At 48.8% G+C, this 21602-nt stretch overlaps 1 annotated feature.

The window, feature by feature from the left end:
- Nucleotides 18683-19594: an enhancer, noted in NCBI's record as "H3K27ac-H3K4me1 hESC enhancer chr21:44037913-44038824 (GRCh37/hg19 assembly coordinates)". NCBI's record gives its function as "activates a minimal SCP1, AML or CMV promoter by ChIP-STARR-seq in naive and primed H9 embryonic stem cells {active_cell/tissue: H9 hESC(naive and primed)}" and the evidence as "EXISTENCE:reporter gene assay evidence [ECO:0000049][PMID:30033119]".

The raw sequence follows: 21602 nt of genomic DNA, 5'->3' as shown, positions 1-21602 counted from the left end.
GTCTCTGTGTGCGTGTGTATGTGTGTGTATGTGTCTGCGAGTGTGTGCGTGTGTGTGTGCATGTGTGTTCGTGCATGTGTGCATGTGTATATTTGTGTGTGTGCATGCGTGTGCATGTGTAAGTGTGTGTGCATGTGTATATGTCTGTGTGTGCCCGTGTGTGTGCTGTGGAATACCATGCACGAGCTGGTTTAGCACCAGTGGGAACTGGACACGAGTGTCTTATTCTGGCTGAGGCTGATTAAACTAATCCCACCTACAAAACACATACAGCCTCCGAGGCTTACTCCTTGAAAATCTCATAATTGTGGCTTAAGAAAATGCATAGTCCTTTAATACTTTAGAAATATTCCTTTGTCTTATTTTGCAACTTAGATTGATCCTTTTAAGAGATGCTGTGATCAGGCACATGGGCCTGATGTAATTATGTGCATGGGCTGCATGGTAAAAAATGATACCAACCCATGCTCACAATAAATGCCATTATTTGTCCTTCTTGACAGGTTGGTTTAATACGCTGGCCTTGTGCTTTAGAAAAGAAAAGACAACGGTGTATGAAATGGCACAAAACTGAAAAGGCAAAAACGTCTTTGGAAAATTACGCAAGGCTTCTTCAGCTGAGTTATGATGCTTGCAGGCTGTAATTAATATATTACACAATAGTACATTGTTACAGTATTAGTGTTACAGAACATGAAAACAACCATTTGCTTCAGTGGAAAAGCTACTCACCGTTGGGAATTTATCACTATGTGGAGGAAATATCTAGTGATTTGACTCAATGTAAACCTTTCCACTGACTGATTTGATGATCTGCAGACAGAGCTTTAATGAATCACTGTTAAATCTACTTAGCTGCCTCACGGAGGAAGGAAAAGAACTGTCTTTAAATAAACAAAATGAAAACCAGGGAATATGCACTAAGGTTCCCTGTGTTCTAATCTGTGCTTTAACTGAGGGGCAAATAAGAAACACTGCTGTGGCCAGTGAGGGTTGCCCTGCCTGCCCGCCCCAGGGGATGATGTGAGGATGCTCCCCTCGGCCCCTCTGACCAAGGAGCTGTTTTGCCCTGGGTGAGGAGGCGATCTGCGCAGACCTCAACAGGAGGCAAGGCTTTCTCAGTCTCAGCATTTGCAGCTCAGTGCCACTCTGTGTTTCTGCATGAGCCTCTGGGAGAAGAAGCCAGGGAGAAGTTGAAGAAGAGGTTAATGTTACAAGCCACAGGCATCTGATGGGAGGATGCTGGTGCTGAAAGAAATAGGAGAACTTATTAATTTATCTTAAATGGGCAGGTTAATGGATTGATGGACTCATGGATGAACGACTCATGGATGCATGAGTGATGGATAGGTGGATAGGTGCTCAAATGGATGGACGCATGCATAGATGTGTGCATGAATGCTTAGATCTGTGCATATATGAATGTATATATGTAGCTTGGGTGGATGCATGGGTGGGGGAACAAATAGATGGACAATGGATGGATGGAGAGATGGATGTGTGCATGAATGCTTAGATCTGTGTATATAGGGATGTATATATTTGTGCTTGGGTGAATGCGTGCGTGGGTGAATGAATAGATGAACAACAGATGGATGGAGAGAAGGATGATGAATGGATGTGTATATGAATACTTAACTCTGTATATATGTATGCTTAGATCAGCATATATGTATATTTGTTTGCTTGGATAGATGCACATGTGGACGGATGTGTGCACAAATGCTAAGATCTGTGCATATATGTGTGCTTGGATGGATGCATGGGTGGGTGGATGAATAGATGGACAATGGATGGATGGAGAGAAGGATGATGGATGGATGGATGTGTGCATACGTGGTTAGATCTGTGTATACGTCTATGCTTGGATGGATGCATAGGTGGGTGGATGAAAAGATGGACAATGGATGGATAGAAGGATGATGGATGGATGTGTGCATAAATGCTTAGATCTGTATATATGTCTATGCTTGGATTGATGCATGGGTGGGTGGATGAATAGATGGACAATGGATGGATAGAAGGATGATGGATGGATGTGTGCATGAATGCTTAGATCTGTGTATATGTCTATGCTTGGATTGATGCATGGGTGGGTGGATGAAAAGATGGACAATGGATGGATGGAGAGAAGAATGATGGGTGGATGGATGTGTGCATGAGTGCTTAGATCTGTGTATATATGTGTGCTTGGATGGATGCATGGGTGGGTGGATGAACAGATGGACAATGGATGGATGGAGAGAAGGATGATGGATGGATGGATGTGTGCATACGTGGTTAGATCTGTGTATATGTCTATGCTTGGATGGATGCATAGGTGGGTGGATGAATAGATGGACAATGGATGGAGAGAAGGATGATGGATGGATATGTGTATACGTGGTTAGATCTGTGTATATGTCTATGCTTGGATGGATGCATGGGTGGGTGGATGAATAGATGGACAATGGATGGATAGAAGGATGATGGATGGATGGATGTGTGCATACGTGGTTAGATCTGTGTATATGTCTATGCTTGGATGGATGCATAGGTGGGTGGATGAAAAGATGGACAATGGATGGATGGAGAGAAAGATGATGGATGAATGGATGTGTGTATACGTGGTTAGATCTGTGTATATGTCTATGCTTGGATTGATGTGTGGGTGGGTGGATGAATAGATGGACAATGGACAGATGGAGAGAAGGATGATGGATGGATGTATGCATGAATGCTTAGATCTGGGTATATATGGATGTACGTGTGTGCTTGGACAGATGCACGGGTGGGTGGGTGAGCAGATGGACAATGGATGGAGGAATAGGAGGATGATGGATGGATAGATGTGTGCATGAGTGCTTAGACCTATGTATATATGTATGTATATATGCGTATGCTTGGATAGATGCATGGAGGCATACAAATCTGGGTGGATGAATTATTACATGATGATGCAGGTTTGGGTCAGGTAAATGTCAATACATTCAGTCACAGAAGTCAGCAGGCAGGCAGACACACACCTGTCGAGCACTTATTTTATGACTGGCACCATTTCTGATGTTAGGAGCACAAGGCTCCTACCTGTATGAGGCTTCCCTGCTAGGGGATGGGAGTCACTGCTGGTGGTAAAGGGTCAGGAAAGCCTCCAGGGAGGCGGCTTCTGACCTGAGCCTGCTTGAGAAGGCAGCAGCCTTGAACAGGTAAGCAGAGCGCCCCAGCAGAAGGAAGAACTGCGGTCGAAGCTGCCGGTAATGGGGTTAGACGTCAGGAAGGCCTGCAGGCTGCAGCACTGTGCACAGGGCCAGCCCCTCCAGGTTGGCTCTCAACTCCTCCACTTCACCGGTCCTGGGCTCACCAGTGTGGACACAACACAGGCCCCTGATCTCTGGCTTCTGGTTGGGTTCAGCTGATGGCGAGCTCTGGCTGGGGCTTGGAGGGTGGATGGAGAGGTCAGGCCCTCAGTCCCTGGGAAGTTGCCTCTGGCTGGCCGAAGTTACCTCTCCCTTGCTTCAGGTCACGGCTCTGCCTGGGGCAGCCTCCCACATGTGACAGCCTTCTTTCAGGTCCTGGTGGCCACTCCAGACACCCCTTTCAGGCAGGGTGGTAACAGTGCCACTGTGACTAGCCCCAGGTCACCACACCATCCCTTAGGCTTCACCGGGACCCTGTCCAGACCTTTATAATGGTCCTTTTCCAAATGCCCCTCCCCCCAGCAATTACCCTCATTCTAGATGCGTTTTCTGTTGGAAACTTCCAGGTAGTTGGCACAGGAGTGGCCCAGAAGGCAGACCCTCCAGGTGGAGTCAGGGATGAGGTTGGTCACATATTGGAGGAGATGGAATAACTTCCTTGCCAGGGGGAAATGGGCCGTGGGTACACAGGGGCACGGCAGCCTCTCCGTGACTCAGATCATTGCTGGTGTCAGTGTGGAATGGCGTGCAGGGGAGGCTGAGGTGCTGGGAGAGAAGCCGGAGTTGCTATGGCAATGGTTGTGATTGAAGAGAGTTTGGGTCTTCTGGCTTCTCCTTACCCACACAGGAAAAGGAAAACTTGCAATGGCCGGACCTGCAGTCAAGAACCAGAGGGGCAGCTCTGAAGGAGCCCGTGTCACCTGCAGTCCCAGAGAAGGTGCCGCAAAGGCCAGCCCTTGGCTCTGCTTGTTTGGGCAGATGGTGAACACTCCACATGTGGCCAGGTCTCAGGCTGCGTGACAGAGTTCTCAATAGGATGATGTCACCCCAGGGGACTTTTGACAGTATCTGGAGGTATTTGGGCTGTCGCAGCTGGAGGGATACGGCTGGTGTCTGGTGGGCAGAGATGGAGGACGGTGCTAAGTACCCTACAGTGCACAGGACGGCCCCACAGCAAAGAATGACCTGGCCCAGTGGTCCCGGTGTGGGGTGGAGAACCTCGCTTGGAGAGAAGGGCACCGGTGGGTGAAGTGGGACCCTGAGACACGGGGTGAAGGCACTGGAGCATGTGTGCTGAAGATTTCGAACTCCCAAGTCCGGAGCCTCCTTTGCCCCCAAGGCAGCCTCGCTGCTTTGTCTGAGGACACCAGGCCTCCTCTGCATGGCAACTTTCAATGACTGGACAGGCCATGACCTCACTGGCTCATGCCATCCAGATCCTCATCTCCCTCTACCATCCCCAACCACCTTCCTCCCACCAGTCCCACAGTGAGAGTGAGACCAGCGCCTCCCTTCTCAGACTATAACCTGCACCCCAGTCTCTACGACCGCAGGGTGTTCCATTGAAATGCAGATTCCCATGAACTAGGCCTGGGGCAGGGTGGGGCCAGAGGTCCTGCACACCAACCAGCTCCCCAGGGCCGCTTGGGACCAGGTGTTGAGTAGCCGGGAGGAGTCAGGCTGCAACACAGCCCTGACGGACCCCCTGGGGCAGGCGGCCTCCCATCCATGGAAAGGGTTTGAGGCCTTCTCACTTGTGTCGGCAGGAACCAGAGAAGCACATGCGCAAGCTCCATGAGGCCAATCCTGAGACATGGGGCAGCCACCGGGACGCAGGACAGGATGACGGGGCTGGGCCTTACCTCTCAGTGGAGCCCCCTGCAGAGCTGCATAAGCTATAGATGCCTCAGTCCCACCCCCAGCGCTTCTGATTCCGTTTTCTGGGACAGGGCTTCGGCATCAGGATTCTTTTCTTTTTTTTTTTTTTTTGAGATGGAGTCTTGCTCTGTTGCCCAGGCTGGAGTGCAGTGGCACGATCTTGGCTCACTGCTAACTCCACCTCCTGGGTTCAAGTGATTCTCCTGCCTCAGCCTCCCTAGTAGCTGGGATCACAGGCGCATGCCACCACACCTGACTAATTTTTGTATTTTTAGTAGAGGCAGGGTTTCACCATGTTGGGCAGGCTGGTCTCGAACTCCTGACCTCAGGTGATCCACCGTCCTCAGCCTCCCAAAGTGCTGGGATTACAGGTGTGAGCCACCATGCCAGGCTGGGCGTTGGGATTGCTAAACAACCCCCACGTGAATCTAATGAGCAGCCAGGGCTGAGAACCAATGGTTAGGTGTGTTGACTGGAGCCTCTGGAGTGGCACCTGCTGACAGTCTGCTAGGCTGGCACATCGAAGCCTGGGCTCAGACAGTGACAGTCTGCAGGAGGGCTGGGGGTTCTCTGCCTTTCTAAGAAGAATCCTGGTGTAGTAGAAGCCAATCAGAGACAAGGGGGTGCAACTTCCCCATCAAAATGGGAAGGGCTGGTGGTCCCACTGTTTGGTGGGGATCTGTGGCAGTGGCTAGCTGGTCACAGGGTTACAAAATGAATTAGGTGGGTAGCCTCCTAAGAGATATGTATGTAAGGAAGAAAATTCAACATATATGTGTAAGTAGGGGGCAGAAACATCCAGCCTGTGGTGGAAGCCCTGGATCTGCCCTCCACATCACACCTCTGCCAAAGCAGTTAACCAAGTCCTACACTGCACCCCAGGGGAAACTGCAAAACGCTGGGGCAGCAGCAAAGGCCTGAGAAACGCTGGGGTGGGGATTTACACCATAAGCCCAGGTAGCACCCCTTTTTAGTTGGTGCAAAAGTCAGGTGGATCTTAGAGTGTGACAGTGGCTCTTTCTTCACAGATGTGATCACATGGTGACGCTGGAACCCACCTGTGGCTCTAGATGTGGTATCTTTACCGGAAGGAATCAGCCCCAGGACCTGATATGTAGCTATTGCCTAGAAAATATCTTCTTTTCTTTTCCAATCAATAAGGAAAACCAGGCCGGGGTGGTGGGTCACACCTATAATCCCAGCACTTTGGGAGACCAAGGCAGGAGGATTACTTGATCCCAGGAGTTTGAGGCTGCAGTGAGCTATGATCACACCACTGCACTCCAGCCTAAGTGACAGAGTGAGACTCTGTCTCAAAAAAAATTAAAAAAAAATTTTTAAAATAATGAAGACCCCAAGCAGTTTGCATGTGTGGAATGTCGGAGGCTGTGCTTGAGTTCACTACAGCCGCTCTGCCTGCCAAACCCACTGAGTGCCAGGTCTTGGACAAACGCTGAGTCACCAGCGTTTCCCTGGTGGGACAAACCGATGACCTGGTGGCAGATTAATTATGCTGAGCCCCTCCCACTGTGGAGGGGACAGCCCTTCATCCTCACAGGGACAAATCGATGTGTCCTCCCTGGCCTCCGCACCTCTGCTGGCACTGCTGTTCTGGGATTTGCAGAACAGCTCACTCACCAGTCACTGTGGTGTTCACATCCCATCATCTCCAACGGGGACACGTTTTATAGCAAAGGGAGTGCTGCAACCCCAAACAGAGGAGATCACCAAGTGATCATGAGACCTGAACCATAAACTTGGATACGTGCAACAGAATTCCATTGTAGAGTGGAAGTTTTCACATGGGAGAGCTGGCCTGATTCACCTGGAAGACACATAGCTCAGACTTAAGAGAAGCTGTCCCGCTCCTTCACTAGCCCTCCCTCCACCACACCTGTGGCCACAGGGGTTTCTCTGGCCAGCAAATGGAGAAGGGGAGGGCAGGCCCAGTTAGCAGAGGGTCTGGCTGTAGGCTACACAAGTGAGAAGTGGGGGCCAAGGTACTGCCACCCAGCAGGTGACCCTCAAAGACAATGCAGAAGGAAAATCCTCCTGGGGGCAGAATGCCACGAAATGCTTCACACGAAAGTAGGGTTGGCTGAAAGTACAATTGCGTGTTTACAGACTCACGGGCAATGGCAAAAGCGTTAGCCGGTGGGGCCAGTGCTTCCCACTGAGAAGCACCCAAGTTGCTGTGAACACAGTGGCACTCGCCAGCACTGGCAGGTGCAGGCCAGAGACAGGAGACAGCACAAACAGGAAACTGGTGACAAGGTGGCTGTCTTAGGCAGGGCTCTCCAGAGAGGCAGGATCAATAGAAGACATCTGTCTATCTATCATCTAATCTATCTATCTATCATCTATCATCTGTCTATCTATCATCTATCATCTGTCTATCTATCATCTGTCTGTCTATCTATCATCTATCTATCTGTCACCTATCATCTGTCTATTTATCATCTATCTATCTATCATCTATCATCTGTCTATCTATCATCTGTCTATCTATCATCTATCATCTGTCTATCTATCATCTAATCTATCTATCATCTATCATCTGTCTATCTATCATCTATCTATCTATCATCTATCATCTGTCTATCTATCATCTATCATCTGTTTATCTATCATCTATCATCTGTCTATCTATCATCTAATCTATCTATCATCTATCATCTGTCTATCTATCATCTATCATCTGTCTATCTATCATCTAATCTATCTATCATCATCTGTCTATCTATCATCTATCATCTGTCTATCTATCATCTATCATCTGTCTATCTATCATCTATCATCTGTCTATCTATCATCTATCATCTGTCTATCTATCATCTATCTATCATTTATCTCATCCATTCATCTATCTATCTAGCCATCTATCTCATCCATCTACTTACCTATCTATCTATCTATCTATCATCTATCATCTGTCTATCTATCTATCTATCTATCTATCATTTATCTCATCCATTCATCTATCTATCTAGCCATCTATCTCATCCATCTTACTTATCTATCTATCTATCATCATCTGTCTATCTATCTATCTATCATTTATCTCATCCATTCATCTATCTAGCCATCTATCTCATTCATCTACTTACCTATCTATCTATCTATCTATCTATCATCTATCATCTGTCATCTATCTATCTATCTATCTATCATTTATCTCATCCATTCATCTATCTATCTAGCCATCTATCTCATTCATCTACTTATCTATCTATCTATCTATCATCTATCATCTATCTATCTATCTATCATCTATCATCTGTCTATCTATCTATCTATCTATCTATCATTTATCTCATCCATTCATCTATCTATCTAGCCATCTATCTCATTCATCTACTTATCTATCTATCTATCTATCTATCTATCTATCTATCTATCATCTATCTATCTAATCTGTCATCTATCTCATCCATTCATCTATCTAGCCATCTATCCTATCTATCTATCATCTACCTCGTCCATTCATCTATCTAGCCATCTATCCTATCTGTCTTATCTATCTCTCTCTTTATCTATCTATCTATCTATCTATCATCTATCTCATCCATTCATCTATCTAGTCATCCATCTCATCCATCCATCCACCCATCCACTCATCCATCTATGCATCTATCTATCTATCCCATCCATCCGTGCATCTCTCTCTCATCCTTCCATTATCTATCTATCTATCTATCTATCTATCTATCTATCTATCATCTATCTACCTATCTATCTATCCCATCCATCCATCCATCCATGCATCTATCTATTTATCTATCATCTATCTATCTATCTATCTATCTATCTATCTATCTATCTAATCTATCTATCTATCATCTATCTGTCTATCAAAATGGTCATAAGAAATACTTGAAAATCCTAAAGAAGGCAAAAAGGAGAAAAAATGGTACAGAACATAGTGGACAAATGGAAAACAAATAGTAAAATGGTAGGCATAAGCCCAAATATATCAGAAATGATTAAATTCAATGAAAAAAGTTCTAAAATCTTAACAGAAAAAAATGCACTCTATGGGCATTTTTGACGTGAGCCTGAAGTTAGAGGTTCTGCTTCCGGCTTTGCCTGTAACCAGCTCTGTGGCTTTGAACCAGTCCTTCCTTGTTCCACACAATGTTATGTCTTAGTGGGAGGCAGTGGGATGAGGATCGCCCACCTGTCTCAGCCCCAGCCTGGTCTAGATTCCCTCTGACAAGCGCCTGAGTTGACATGAACTCAGTGGCACTTGTCAACGCTGGCAGGTGTGGGCCAGAGACAGGCAGCCAAGCACTTTGAATAGCATGTTTAGGAGGAGCGCCAGGCTCACAGCCGAGTGTGAAGTGTGTCTAAATGTCTATTCTTCCTGCCTGCATCTGACAAGTAATGCTGTACCAAAGAAGTAAAGACAAGGCAGAAAAAGAGGAGTTCAGAGCTGAAGGAACCAGCGCTCACCTCCAGCAATTGTTTTCAGGAAAAGATGAAAACTTTCATGCCCAGTGGCACACAGGGCTCGTGTGTGTCTCCTCGGTGATTGGCCCACCTGGAGCCATGGCTGGTGTTCTCTTCAAACCCAGTTCCCATCCACCGAGGTTGAACTGGGACACTTCTCCCCGCGTCTCCTTCTTCAAATGACTCAGGTTTCACAGCCTTCAACAGCACCTGCCTCTGCACTGTGACTTCCGCAGCTCAGATCTCATTGCAAGGAGCTTTCAAGTACAATGGGGAAAGTTGGCTTTGCCAGCCTTTCAGGAACAGCCCTTGGAAGATAAGGTAGATCTGTGTGTGCTTCAGAACTGCCGCCATGACTACGATCACACCGGCATCACGGCTTGCTTTGGATAAAACCTTAGGAAGACGGAAAAGCCTTCTTTCTAAAGGTTATTCCACTTGGCTTGTCCAACTGCATTTATTTCATTACTGTATTGACCATTGGGCCCCAGGTTCCAAGAGACAGGGACTCGCTCTGCCTCTCCCAAGCCTGGACCTGGCATCCTGGACAGCATCCTTTCAATAAAGGCTGGATAATGAAATGAAACAAAAAACGATTGAAGACTTCAGGGACCTAGAGAGCAATGTACAACTCTAATGGAAACCTGAACTCCACAGAGGAGAGAGTGATGTCCAAGACCCTTCTCATTAGGAACCTATGGCACGTATACACAACTTTCTGCCGGCACCATTCACCTAAAGAAGAGAGCAGAGAGAGCGCGCTCTGGGGAGTGAGCAGCCTGTGGGCTAAGTGCTAGCACTCCAGGAGCTGAGGGCCCCCTGTGTGTGGCTGCACCCCTCTGGCCCCTCTGCATTGCTGGAAAAGGCATGAAATGTACCCAGGACTTCCCATGCATCTGGGTCCATCCATGAATCGATCCACAGTGTGGGTCAGCTTGGCCTGACGTTGGGTTTTGAAGATGGGGTTGTGGTGATAACACCAGAAAGTTACTGGGGCCAGACCCGGGAGAGCATTAATTACCTGAACAATGGCTGACCTTCACTACACAGCAAAAGAGAAGCATTGCTAGGGAGAGAAGAGCATGGCCAAGGTGCGTCTTAGTGTGCTCTGCCTGCCATAACGAAAACCACACAGCGGGGGCTTATACAACAGAAGTGAACTTGCTCACAGAGCTGGAGCCTGGCAGCATAAGACCCAGGGCCCTCCTCCTGGCTTGCAGATGGCCGCCTTCTCACTGTGTCCTCACATGGCAGAGAAAGGAGGAGAGCTTCTCCCATTTCTTCTCATGAGGGCCTCATCTTATCATGAGGGCTCCACCCTCAGGGCACCATTTAACCTTAATGACCTCCTTACTACAAACCCAGACACACTGGGGGCTAGGGTGTCAATGTATGAATTTGGGGAGAGAAGATACAATTTGGTTGGTACCAGGGATGACGTGCTCTCTGTTCCGAAAGCTCCTGCCACGGAAGGCACAGCCGTTGTCTTGGACCTGCCCCCGAGGCTGTGCTGGTCCGTGACTTACCTCGTTGTAGAATTGGAAGGGCTGATCCCTGGGCCAGGTGTTTTTGGGGTATGTGGGAGCTTAGCCTGTTGGTGTCCAAACCAGGCTCCTCAATGTGGAGCAGAGTTCCTTCCACCACGTGCGGCGGAGCCCACGCCTGGGAAGAGCACGCGCACACTCGTTGCTTCACAGATGCTGAGAATGTCACTAGGCACACAAACAACCTTGGCTGGTGTTACATGACTAGCGTGTGTGTCTATTTTACACAAAATTTCACCTTAGAAATTGGTGGGTATGAAAAACAGCCATTTTACTAAATTGTTTTGGAAAAGAAATAGTGGCTTCTCCTGTGAAATAAGCTAAATTATTTCAAACATTTCAGAAAAAGTCAGTGTTTTGAGTAAAGATGTTTGTAGGAACGTGCTCCAGAGCCCGGTAAAAGCAGAGCCCAGGAGGAGGAAACTGTCTGGGGCTCCGAGTCCCCCGTTTAGAAAGTCCTTCAGTAGAGCAGGGACTCCTGCCGGACTCTGGGTGCCTGTGAGTATCTGCCGGGGAGTGTTAAAAATGGTGATGCCTGGGCCCCAGCCTGGACCAAATGGATCAGAATCTCTGAGGGTGGGCCTGGTAGTCTGCATTCTAAAGAACCCACAGGCTCTTCTCCCCTTGTGTTGAGCTTCCTGCTTGCTGCAAATTCAGGATACAGCTGGGGGCCAAGAGTGTTGTGGCTGGGGCTAGGGTGGGGCTGCTGGTGCAGGGTGAGACCTCCTGCAATGTGGGTCCAGCTGCCACTTCAAGGCCCTGGGGAAAGCCCCCATTCTCTTTGCCCCATGATCAGGATAATCCGGGATGCTGACAACCACAGGAAGGCATGAGGGGTGCTGAAAAGAAGGCTATAAACCTGGGGAACGCTTACGACCAGTCCATCTCCTCAGCATCTCAACGTCACAGGCTCTCGTTAGCTCCTCGGTAATATTAGTCATGTATCCAGCTGTCCCTAGATTAGCCTGTGCATCTCCACGTGCATTTCAGGGAGACAGTGACTGACAACTTGTCCCAGGATGGCAATGCAGATGACAGAAGCCTGATCAAAATAGAATGGGCAGGATTTTTAAGACCCCACACACTTCAAAGCACAGCTTGTGCAGGAAAAAAAAAAAAAAAGCCAAGTGGTCTTGGATGGCTGAGCGAGTCGAGCTGTAGAAGGTGACTTGGCCCTGCTGGGGGTGCTTCGTCCCCCTGAACCTCTTTCTCTGGCTGTCCCCTGACTCTGCTGGTACAGCAGGGTTGTAGACCCAGAAAATCTAAGACAGGTCTCAGTTAATTTAGAAACTTTATTTTGCCAAGGTTGAGAACGCACACCCGTGACACAGCCTCAGGAAGTCCTGAGAACATGTTCCCAAGGTGGTCGGGATGCAGCTTGGCTTTATACATTTTAGAGAGGCATGAGACATCAATCAAGTACATTTAAGAAAGACATTGGTTTGGTTCAGAAAGGTGAGGCAACTCAGAGTAGGGGGCTTCCAGGCTATAGGTGAATTTAAACATTTTCTGGTTGACAATTGGTTGAGTTTGTCTAAAGACCTGGGATCAATAGAAAGGAATGTTTGGGCTGCGATAAGACACTGCAAAGACCAAAGTTTATTCATGCAGATGAAGCTTCTAGCTGTCAGGCTTCAGGGAGAACACGCTGTGAAATGTTTCTTAAGGTCTGTGTTGACGTTAATGCTGGAGAGGTAAACATAATCAGGCATGTCCGATCCCCACGTCCTTCATGGCCTGAACCAGGCTTTCAGGTTAAATTTTAACACTGCCCTGGCTGAGGAGGAAGTCCGTTTAGATGGTTGGGTGGAGGTGGGGGAGGGCCTTAGGATTTTACTTTTGGTTTACATGATCTAGATGTGGTTATCCCCCTACTGGACCGCAAACTCCTTGAGGACTGGAAGTATATCTTTTTTCCCTCTGTAATCGCTGCAGCACCCAGCATGATGCCAGACACATCATAGGAATTCATTTGTTTTAAAGGAAGTCGTGAAAAAAGGCAGCAGTGTCTGGGCAGTAGATGGGCTCAGCCTTCTAATGAGAGGCACGTGGCACCAGACGCTGACGGATTCCTCCTGCCCTGTGTGATGACCAGGTAGACAGGGGAGGCCAGCTGGCATCTCTGATATGGCAGTGACCCATCCTGCACCAAGTTCAGTCACTGGCAGGCTGGTACAAGAGTGGAGGAAAGTGATGCCTTCAAGTTCACCAGCAGTGGGTATATGACAATGGCTAAATCTTGAACCGAAGAGCTCTATGCAATGCCCTTGTGAAGAAAAATAGCAAATAGGTTGATGTACCATCTGTTCACTCATTCATTCAGTAGTATGATTTTGAATGCTGACGTGTATTGGACACTGAGCTGGGGCCTCGAGATCCTGGTTGAGTAACCACAGCTCATCCTCATAGAGGCCTGGCGTGGAGACAGACACGGAGCAAAGAACTCCAGGGAGGGACTGGATTGCATGAGGGCACCGGGGCTTAGGGGAGAAGCACAGACCCTGTCTGGGGAAGAAGAGCAGCCCACATTGGTGAGCATCACTCATCCAGAGGAATGAGGGCAAGCACCGGGGTGTTGTTTCTGCTCTCTGGCATTCCGACTACTTGTCATTCTGGCTAAATGGTGTTGATGTTAAAGGAAAGTAGAGAAGGATTGAAGTGGGAACTGTCTATACTTTTACAGCATCTATGCAGCCCGAATTGAACGGCCAAACAAGAGTGTTGGACTTGCAGTTTATTTTATTTTTTATTTTTCTTGAGACGGAGTCTCGGTCTGTTGCCCAGGCTGGAGTGCAGTAGTGTGATCTTGGCTCACTGCAACCTCCGCCTCTTGGGTTCCAGTGATTCTCCTGCCTCAGCCTCCTGAGTAGCTGAGACTACAGGCGCCCACCACCACAACCAGCTAATTTTTGGATATTTAGTAGAGACGGAGTTTTGTCATATTGGCCAGGCTGGTCTTGAACTCCTGACCTCAGGTGATCCGCCCTCCTTGGCCTCCCAAAGTGCTGGGATTACAGGTGTGAGCCACTGCACCCAGCCTTGGACTCACAGTTTATAAGGTAGAATAAAACATCTGACTTCTACAAAGCTATTTAGAAGGCTGCTAAATCGCTCGTCTTGGGTAACAAGAACAAGTGCGTTTTTCCTGATTCCTGACAGTCAACTATAGCATAAGCTGCTTGAAGATGGAGATCAGGTGTTTCATGACCTGTCTGGCACCTTTACTGTTTAACCCATTTCTTGTTTACAATAAGGTCCCAATAAATTGCTGACAATGGACAGGTGAGCTTAAGACCCACGCTTACCCTATGCTGTGACAGGTGCAGCTGTCTTTGTAAATGTCTTTGTGTTTTAATAGTAGATGTTTTCTTATTTTTAGCTTTTAATTGCATTTCTTTCATATACTAATACAAAAAATGGTATAAATTTCTGGATGTGCTTTAACTCGTCCATATAGAAGATGGGATGTCTTGGACAGATGTTTACATTTATTCCTGAAATCTATGATTTCTGCCAGCTTTCTATTGCCAGAGCCAGTCCCTTATAAGTTTTTGAAGCAGGAATGAATATCACGTTTTTCACTCGTCACACACAACATGAAAGCACTGACGGGAAAAAGATGATTTGACTTAGAGGGCTTACCTGTGCCTGCTGGCACCATTTTCAACCTTTTCAACTTTTGTCAAGTCAAGTTGACAATAATTCCTGTGAGCCATGCCTTAATTCACCTTCACTTTTAGACCATTTCGGACAAAGATTGTAGCTCTCTAGAGTTTCTGCGTTGAATGAATCACATTCATGTTAGGAATCTGCACTGCAGGCCACCCCACAGTGACAACACGTCAAATCTGAGCATTGTCCTAAGAGAACACGAGACAGTGTGCCCTGCCAGCAATGGGGACAAGAGGAGGGCTTATTCCTCATAGGGGTATGAGTAGATTTTTCCTATTTCAGAAATCTCAGTAAGTACATACACCAGTTTGAGATTTTTGTCTGTATACGCGCTCAAGAATTCTCCGTGAGGTCCTGTCTGGGTATAAGTCCCCATTGTTTTAAAGACAGCAACTTATAATAACTTAAAATGTTTGTTTTGCCTGGACCCACCATGGAAAGAATTGAATTAACCTAAAGACAGTGTTGCCATGAGCGGTGTGAAGTATAAACTGCTCCCGGAGAGAGGGATTTGGAAGCCCCTGAAGATCTTTTCAAATAGACTCATTGTGTGAAACCCACTTTCCACGCCACTTAAGCCCTTACGTCTTCTTTGTGAAAGTTTTTCAAGAGGTAATGGCTCGTGGAGAAAATACAAGCCTTCGGAAGATGCCGGGGGAGTCATGTGCTGCGAGGGAGTTGTTGGCACTGAGATGTCCTGGGAAACAAGCGGTGATTTGTATGTGGGAAGCAGTTCAGGACACGGTCTGTTTCCCTCATTTCTGGCAGGCAATCGTGGGTTACCTCTTTCAGATGCAAACATATTCATTGAAAGAAGGCCCCTATGTGACAACAATCTCTCTTGACTGTGTCCCTTGGGGAGTAAGAGAAATTGACCATGGCCTTACGATGGGTCTGAAACCTAGAAATAAAAGCACAGCTAATTGTTTCAGCATGTCAGTAAGACTGGACCTACAAAGAATGTGTGCCAGCCAGGGTACCAGCTCATGTACCAGTCACATGTTAGGTCAGGGGTACCTGCCGGGAGTACAGTCAGAGATGCCTGCCTGGTATATGGTCGGGGGTATGTGCCGGGTGTACAGTCACGGGTGAGAAAGATGAACTACTAAGTCCACCAACTGACTGAACAGATGTCTTCCTCTCAGCCCAGAGGAACTCCAGGGAAACCGAGTTCCTGGCCCTGATGGGATGGGAGGTTGGACATAACTTGTTATGCCTCCTCCCTCGTTAACTTCCCTTGTTTCTTTCCTCAGGGCTAAACAGAAACCAGCCTTTTCAACAGACTCCTCCCTGATATCCACCCACCGCTGGACTCCGCCCCTCCCTTGTGTGCTTTCAACAAGCAACCGACCAGCATTCCTGCCCGACGAGAGGCCGTGGAGTGGATCTAGATGGTCTACAGGGGATGCCCAGTGAGGGTTCGTGCCCTCAGATGCCCAGTGAGGGTTCGTGCCCTCAGCTTCACCTTTTGATGTCAGAGGGCCAAACACTCCACCCTTGGATGGTGCTAATGCTGCCATTTTTTTGTTTTTCTTTTCTTTCTTTTTTTGTTTGAGATGGAGTCTTGCTCTGTTACCAGGCTGGAGTGCAGTGGCGTGATCTCATCTCACTGCAACCTCCAACTCCCTGGTTCAAGTGATTCTCCTCTCTTAGCCTCCTGAGTAGCTGGGATTACAGGCACGTGCCACCACATCCAGCTAATTTTTGTATTTTTAGCAGAGACGGGTTTTGCCATGTTGGCCAGGCTGGTCTTGAACTCCTGACCTCGTGATCTGCCCGCCTTGGCCTCCCAAAGTGCTGGGATTACAGGTGTGAGCCACTGCGCCCGGCCTGTTTTTCTTTCTTGTTGTCACCCAGGCTGGAGTGCAATGGTGCAATCTTGGCTCACTATAACCTCTGCCTCCTAGGTTCAAGCAATTCTCCTGCCTCAGCCTCCCAAGTAGCTGTAATTACAGATGGCCACCACCATGCCCAGCTAATTTTTGTATTTTTAGTAGAGACAGGGTTTTGCCATGTTGGCCAGTCTGGTCTTGAACTCCTGACCTCAGGTGATCTGCCTGTCTCGACCTCCCAAAGTGCTGGAATTACAGACGTGAGCCACCGTGCCCAGCTTAATGCTGCCATTTTTTTTTTAACATGCTCCCCATGGAGAGGCCTGAAGCTCAGTTGCATGTGTTTCTCCTTGTATAAATAAATATTCATGGCTTTCCTAGAGCTAATTGAATATATATATTTAGCCACGCCACCAGCATAAATTCCTCTTCCCTTTGCTCCTCCCTTGAGGTGCCTGTTTGTGGCTTCTGGCTGGAGGCTACACTTCCCAGCCTGTCATAATGGCCACTGCACAGGCTGCAACTCTATGAGAAATAAAACTCTCCTTCTGAAATTCATGAACCTCATCATTTGTCAGTTAACAGAGGTACCTGCCTGGAGTACAGTCAGGGATCCCATCCTAGTTTACAGTCAGAGGGTACCTGTCTGGCATACGGTCAGGGTTTCCGTCCCCGGGGTAGAGTCAGGGGTCCCATCTGAGTGTACAGTCAGGGGTCCCAGCCTCCTGCATAGTCATGGGAACTGGCCTGGGGTACTAGTGAGGGCCACCATCCCTACCTACAGCCGGAGGTACCTGCCTAGTGTACAGTGGGGGGGCACCATCCCTACCTACAGCCAGAGGTACCTGCCCAGTGTACAGTTGGGGGTGCCAGCCCTGTGCACCAGTCAGCAGCACCTGTCAGGTGAGCAGTCAGGGAATCCTCCCTGGTGAGGGACGTGGGCCTGGATTCCTGTTTTGAAACGACAGAAACCAGCCTCCCTTGAATAATCAACAGTCATGGGATTGAGGAAAAGCTGGAGAGCCAGCTGAGGAAAGGACAGGGGCCCAGGCAGGCCCAGCGGCTGAGAGCATAGTCAGATCACCCATGGCCATCTGCGACAACACTGTTGCCTGCAGACACTGTCACGGCACAGCCACCTCTGAAGACGGCCCCGGCCCCTCTCCCGTTTCTGCAGTGTAGTCACAGATGCCCCTCGCCCTTGCTTTGCTTTGTTCTCAGCAATTTATACATCACAGAACTCACTGCAACACACTTCACGTTAATTCAATTCTTTCCATGGTGGGTCCAGGCAAAACAGACATTTTAAGTTATTGTAAGTTGCTGTCTTTAAAACAATGGGGCCTTATAGCCAGAGAGGACCTCACAGAGCATTCATGAACGGGTGTACAGGCAAACATCTCAAACAGGCGCATGTACTTACCAACGTTTCAGTAAGTTGTCTGGCCGAGAGCCACAAATCCACATCTAAGCTTCCAGGGAGAAGGAAAGAACTTCGTCTTTTCCTGCTCTTGTGGCAAAACTTGGGGGCCTTGCTCCCCAACTTAACGAGATTCCTCACCACAGGAAAAGTGCTGGGATGCTGCCTGCTCAGCTGCATTTTAATAAAGACCACAGAGTATCTGATGAACAACCACCAGGTTAATGAGACATTATTAAATTCTGCGTTGGGTTATTTCTTTGGAAGCTTGCTTCCTTCCTTTTATCTTCAACTCTATTATTGGTAATATTGCTTACATAAGGAGCCGGGATAAAGATCACTATATCTATAATACTGTCTGAAATATCAGTGATAAGTACTTAACGAATGTTCAAAGAATGAATGAATTACAGTGTTGGGCAGTGAACAACCAGTTAATTATTTTAGATACTAAATATAGACCCTGAGATCAGCACCATCAAAGGTCCTTCCACCACCTGGTGACGCTCTACTCCAGCACTGGTTTAATTCTCTAAGGGTGGAGGGTGGCAGGCACTGTTGGCTCTAAGCCCTTTGCTGTTGCTAATGAACCTCTGTTTTATTTAAGCAGTGATTTCCCCAGCCCCAGGATTAACTATTTTCTGGTGCAAGCCAACCATGGCTGTCCAGTCCACCTGTCCCTGTGAACAAGCCAGAAGTCTGCAGGTCACCCAATTCTGACCAAGGAGACACGTGAAGAAGGCACCTGGAGCATTTCTGGGATTTCTGGGAAATATTTTCTTCCCTGATAAGAAAAGCAAGTCTTGTGAAAACGTCCTTTTGCATCTTTGTCCTTCCTGCTGTGGATTCTGTTGTGGGAGAACTGGAGGTTGGATGTGTGGGTTTTTGTTGTTGTTGTTTTGTGATGGAGTCTCACTCTCTCGCCAGGCTGGAGTGCAGTGGTGCGATCTTGGCTCACTGCAACCTCCACCTCCTGGGTTCAAGCGATTCTTCTGCCTCAGCCCTCCGAGTAGCTGGGACTACAGGCACCTGCCACCACGCCCAGCTAATTTTTGTATTTTTAGTAGAGATGGGGTTCCATTGTGTTAGCCAGGATGGTCTCAATCTCCTGACCTTGTGATCCACCCACCCTGGCCTCCCGAAGTGCTGGGATTACAGGCGTGAGCCGCCACGCCCAGCCAGATGTGTGGAATCTTTTGGAAACTGTGTGGGGGGCACATTCTGACACCCTGGGGGTGGCAGAGCAGGAGTGCAGAGGGAGCAGAGCTCTGTAATCTGTCAGTCCCGACAACGCTTGCGGGGAGGTGGGGAGGTGGGGCGGTTCGTGCTGGTGCTTTGCTGGAAGCTTCTCAGGTCATTGACTCCTAAGGCCTCCGTATGCTAGGGCTCAACATCTGGGCTTTCTCTGCACCTGGAATGATTCTGAGACCATGTGAGACTTCACTAGCCACAGCTGTTTTAAAAATATTTGCACCTTAGAGGAAGCAGTAGAAAGATGTGGCAAGATCAACATAAATCCATCCCTATCTCAGGAAAAATGGCTGAGTGCGCGTCCACCGCCGCTGTGTCTCAGGCTGCCTTCTCTAGACGTGGGGATTCCGCAGCAAGCAGCTCCCTCTGGGCGTGCTCAGCAGAGGCGCGGGGGAGGCAGGGGAGGCAGGGCAGGACAGGCAAGGGGGACGCGGTCTCTGCTGAGGCTCGCCCCCACCCTGGCCCACAGGCAAGCCCCGGAGTGAGGGATGCAGGAGCTGGTCCCTCACCTCGGCTGGGGACTGTCGTCAGTCACTGACTGGGGACATCACCCGGGGGCGGGTGGCTCCCTTCCCACGGAGAGTGACCCCTTTGGAGAAGACTGCAGCTTAGCAGGCGCCGTGGGATGTGCACACCGACCTGTGGAAGGGGTGGGGGCCGAGACAGCACCCACCACAGTCCGCCCCCACACCGTGCTGGGATCTCACATCAAGGTCCTCTGGCTTACTGTCGGGTGCTCTCAGATTTTGGTGGGTCACAATTTCTGGGAACACTTAAAAGAAGAGCTGGAGTGATGGCTACAGCTCCGGGCGGCGGCACCTTCCGGGCCCAGCATGGCTCCCATCGCGCCTTCCTCTGCCGTGTGCTGCAGGGCCTTGGCCGGCATCTCCACGTGTATGGGCGGCTCGCTGGGGTGCAGCCCAGATGCCTCCTGGGACCGCTGTGCCTTCACCGGGCTGCGCTTGTGCACTTGTCTGTTTACAAGCAGAGCCGGCCGTGGGGGAGGCGAGGTGCCCAGGGGTCACAGGACTGCCAAACACGTCCCTTCCTCTACCTGCAGGCAGCAGCAGCCCCCATCTCCGTGTGACCGGGACGCCCATCCCTGCCAGAGGGCCCGTGCCCGTGTGAGGGGTTCAAAGCGCTGCTGTCACTGGCCTCTATCTCTGGGACCCCATCACCCTATTGTTCCTATGGCTGCTTGGGAGCCCAGGACGGCAAGAGCACCCCCTCCAGCCCCATCCCACGGAGGACCCTGGCACTCTCAGGTGGAGCCCTTCATGGGTGCACGTCGAGGACATCTGGAAAAAAGCATCACCAGTAACTGTGATAAAGACTTCGGAACAGTCGCACTATGTGCACACAGAGGCTCTTTCAAATCAATGAAAGAGCTCTGCAAGGGTGGGGCGGATTCCACGGAGCTGCCAGCGAGCCAGCGAGCGTGGACCTCACTGGAAATTCCACGCATGCAAATGAAAAGAACGGTGCAACACCGTCTTTCTCTATCAGGAGCAAAGATTGAAAAGAACTTTGGGGCTTTTCCTCCGCAGGTTGCCTGAGGCTCCAGTAGGTCTGCAGACAGTGCCTCTGCACCCGGTTTCTGTTTCCTGGAGGGCGTTTTCTTGTTTCTTCTTGATTGTTCTGTTTCTTAACTGCACCCGTTAGTAGCTTTGCTGCTTCGCGTTCACAAATCGCTCTTCATTCCTTCTCTGCACACAGGACGTAGGGTGGCCAATATTACCACCCCCGACGTGATACCTACAGAACAGCTTTGAAATAGAAAAATGCAGACACTTCCCTGATCAGAGCGGTAAATATTGGTAGAACCAGAAAAATTATTAGTGACCAGTGCAAAGTTGGGCATGGCTAGGGGTCATGTCTGTGTGTGTGTGTGATGTGTGTGCTTGTCTGTGTAGTGTGTGTACTTGTGTGTGTCTGTGTGTATGTATGTGCAACTGTTTGTGTGTATGTATATGTGGTGTGTATGTGTCTGTGTGAATATGTGTGTGTGGTGTGTGTATGGTGTCTGTGTATATGGGTGTGTGGTGTGTATGAGTATGTATGTGTGTGTGGTATGTGTATGGTGTGATGTGTGTGGTGTATGTGTGTCCGCATGCTTGTGGATATGTCTGCATGTGTGCATCTGTGATACGTTTGTGTGTGTGGTGTGTATGTGTTTCTGTGTGCTGTGGGGGTGGTGCGTGGTGTGTGTCTGCATGTGTGCATCTGTGGTAAGTTTATGTGTGTGTGGTGTATGTGTATTTGTGTGTGGGGGGTGTGTGCGTGAAAGTGTGCATTCGTGGTACGTTTGTGTGTGTGGTGTGTGTGTGTGATGTGTGCGGTGTGTGTGCTGTGTGTGTGTAGTGTGGTGTGTGTGTGGTGT

The sequence above is a fragment of the Homo sapiens genome, chromosome 21 (assembly GCF_000001405.40).
Source record: "Homo sapiens chromosome 21, GRCh38.p14 Primary Assembly".
NCBI classification, from domain to species: domain Eukaryota; kingdom Metazoa; phylum Chordata; class Mammalia; order Primates; family Hominidae; genus Homo; species Homo sapiens.
This window is presented reverse-complemented; position numbering and strand designations above follow the sequence as displayed.